At 50.6% G+C, this 2,803-nt stretch overlaps 1 pseudogene, besides 5 other annotated features; it reads right to left on the bottom strand.

The window, feature by feature from the left end:
• Positions 11-290: a silencer, noted in NCBI's record as "silent region_9668". NCBI's record gives its function as "represses an Ori minimal core promoter by ATAC-STARR-seq in GM12878 lymphoblastoid cells {active_cell/tissue: GM12878}" and the evidence as "EXISTENCE:reporter gene assay evidence [ECO:0000049][PMID:35858748]".
• Positions 11-326: a biological region, named in NCBI's record as "Sharpr-MPRA regulatory region 734".
• Positions 32-326: an enhancer, noted in NCBI's record as "tiled region #734; HepG2 Activating DNase unmatched - State 1:Tss, and K562 Activating non-DNase unmatched - State 1:Tss". NCBI's record gives its function as "activates a minimal TATA promoter and a strong SV40 promoter by Sharpr-MPRA in HepG2 and K562 cells {active_cell/tissue: HepG2 | K562}" and the evidence as "EXISTENCE:reporter gene assay evidence [ECO:0000049][PMID:27701403]".
• Positions 381-430: an enhancer, noted in NCBI's record as "active region_13593". NCBI's record gives its function as "activates an Ori minimal core promoter by ATAC-STARR-seq in GM12878 lymphoblastoid cells {active_cell/tissue: GM12878}" and the evidence as "EXISTENCE:reporter gene assay evidence [ECO:0000049][PMID:35858748]".
• Positions 932-1,226: a silencer, noted in NCBI's record as "tiled region #12578; K562 Repressive DNase matched - State 5:Enh". NCBI's record gives its function as "represses a minimal TATA promoter and a strong SV40 promoter by Sharpr-MPRA in K562 cells {active_cell/tissue: K562}" and the evidence as "EXISTENCE:reporter gene assay evidence [ECO:0000049][PMID:27701403]".
• Positions 1,771-2,609, bottom strand: HMGB2P1 (high mobility group box 2 pseudogene 1; annotated as a pseudogene).

Here is a 2,803-nt window from a genome sequence, read left to right as displayed (position 1 = left end):
GCAGGGCACGCCTCCTCGCGAGGACGACGTGCCCACCCGTTGGTTGAACCTGCCATCCCCGGCCCTCTGCCCGCCCCGCCGCCGCTGACGATTGGAGCGTTTGGACCCGGCCGGGCGCCCGAGCGGCGATTGGTCGGCGCTTGGCCCCGCCCGAGGGGTGGATACAGCGCGCTCATTGGTCCTCGGAGACGCCCGTCACGGGCAGGGGGCGGGAAGCAGGCATGGGGAGACGAGGCCACGGCTGTGACCTCGGTGGGGCTCGGGAAGGGGGTCGTAGGTCACGGGTGCCAACGGCCTCCCTGAACGGCCGCAGGGTGGGCTGAGCCCGGTGGGCGGGAACCTGGGCTTGCGGACCTGGAAGGAGCGGGGCCACCCCTACCAGAGCCCCTCCCCCGCATCCCCCTTTGGGGCGAGGTCAAGGGTCAAAAAGTAACACAAAGTGGCCAATTCCAGTCAAAAATCCTTCTTTTGAGCCACTCTTGGACCAGGGGAAAGAGAAACGCTCAGGGCGGCCTCTGCCCTATCGGAACTCATGGGGGAAGCCTCAGGACAGCGCTGGGACAAGCCCAGCGGGGGCTTCTCGTGAAAAACAAGAGTTGCCAAAATATGGCTTGATAAGGTTGAAAATATTGAACCCTCCTGTGCTAGCCCCGTGCCTTCCACCTTTTCCTGCACTAGCGCCAGGTTGTTTAGCTGGAACAAACTATCTTGGTACAATCTCCGCCTCCTGGTTTCAAGCGATTCTCCTGCCTCAGCCTCCCCAGTAGCTGAGATTACAGGCGTGCGCCACCACGCCCGGCTAATTTTTGTATTTTTAGTAGAAATTACAGGTGCATGTCTGTAATCCCAGCTACTCAGAAGGCTGAGGGAGGAGAATCGCTTGAACCCGGGAGGAGGAGGTTGCGGTGAGCCGAGATCGTGCCACTGCACTCCAGCTTGGGCAATAAGAGCGAAACTCTGTCTCAAAAAAAAAAAAAAGATCTCTTCCAGAAAACTGAAGTTGAAGGAACACTCCCCAACTCAAACTTATTTTGGTATCTCTTTTCTGTACTGATTGCTGGCTCACACCCCAACTTCTTGGAATCTGGAGATAATGCTGGATAATTGGCATCGGTAGGTCCCACGCCCCTTCAGAGAACTGCAGGACACATGGAAGTGACTCAGGAAATACTTGGTGACCATTACAGACAGAATCCTTGAAGATGGATTCTCCGTTCAAAGACCACCTCCTCCAAGAACCCCTCCTAGTCATTCTCTCAAGTGCCTGGACGGAGATGTGCTGTGAGTGTGAACTACACACGGAATTTCTTTGTTTTTTTGATACGCATAATTTTATTACAAAATGTTAAAAAATGCAGCATCTTAAAAAACGCAAGATGTACTGTTGATACTAATTCCTACAAGTGTGCTGTGCTGCCATACACAATAAATTTTTTAAAAACCATTAAATATTTAGGGACATTAGGCAGGGTGCGGTGGCTCACACCTGTAATCCCAGTATTTTGGGAGGCCGAAGCAGGCGGATCACGAGGTCAGGAGTTTGAAAGCAGCCTGGCCAACATGGTGAAACCCCATCTCTACTAAAAATACAAAAATTAGCTGAGCGTGGTGGCATGTGCCTGTAATCCCAGCTACTCAGGAGGCTGAGGCAGGAGAACTGCTTGAACCAGGACCCGGGAGGCGGAGGTTGCGGTGAGCCGAGATCACGCCATTGCACTCCAGCCTAGGCAACAAGAGCGAAACTCTGTCTCAAAAAAAAGAAAAGAAAAGAAAAGTATTTTCTGTACAGAGAATCTTATGAGCTATACGAAAATTTGTACAGTTTTATACTGAAGCTAATACTGAGCTGTACTAGAATTCACATTCTTAGCAAAACAAGCCCACTGCACAGGCATCATTAAAGGATAGCCATTTATTCTTCATCTTCACCCTCTTCCTCCTCATCTTCATCTTCTTTCTCCTCCTCCTCCTCCTCATCTTCTGGTTTGTTCTTCTTTGAGCCCTTCTTTCCTGCTTCACTTTTGCCCTTAGCACGATATGCAGCAATACCCTTTTCATATCTCTCCTGTAGCTTAACTGCTTTCTGCTCATATGGTTGTTTATCTTTGGCTGACTGCCCAGACCACATTTCACCCAGTTTCTTTGCAGTTTCCACGACAAATAGGCCTGGGTGTCCACTTTTGATCTTTGGGCGATGTTCAGAGCAAAACAGGAAGAAGGCAGATGGTGGCCTTCTAGGAGCATTGCGATCCTTTTTCTTTCCTTTCTTACCCTTTCTTACATTTCGGAGGAATGTAATTTTTAATCTCCCTGTCACAGCGAGCTTTGTCACTTTTTGCCTTCTCTTCAAACTTCACTTCTCCTTTGCAGACGTGGTCTTCCATCTCTCCAAACACTTCTTGGAGAATTCCACGAAATTGACAGAAGAGTCCGGGTGTTTCTTCTTGTGCTCTTCCTGGCAGGTCTGCGCGAAGAGGGCATACGAGGACATTTTGCTCCTCGGTTTGTTGGGGTGTCCTTTACCCATGGGGACAGAACAGCATCTACCTGGTGCGAGCTTTTCCTCAGAGTCCCACAGAGCACCCGGACCCAACAGAGACACTTCCCTCCACACTGACTCTCTTTTTTTTTTTTTGAGACGGAGTCTCGCTCTGTTGCCCGGGCTGGAGTGCAATGGCATGATCTTGGTTCACTGCAACCTCTGCTTCCCAGATTCAAGCAATTCTCCTGTCTCAGCCTCTGGAGTAGCTGGGACTACAGGCATACACCACCATGGCTGGATAATTTTTGGATTTTCAATAGA

The sequence above is a fragment of the Homo sapiens genome, chromosome 19 (assembly GCF_000001405.40).
Source record: "Homo sapiens chromosome 19, GRCh38.p14 Primary Assembly".
Taxonomy (NCBI): domain Eukaryota; kingdom Metazoa; phylum Chordata; class Mammalia; order Primates; family Hominidae; genus Homo; species Homo sapiens.
The sequence above is the reverse complement of the archived record's forward strand: the minus strand, read 5'-3'. Positions and strand labels throughout refer to the sequence as shown.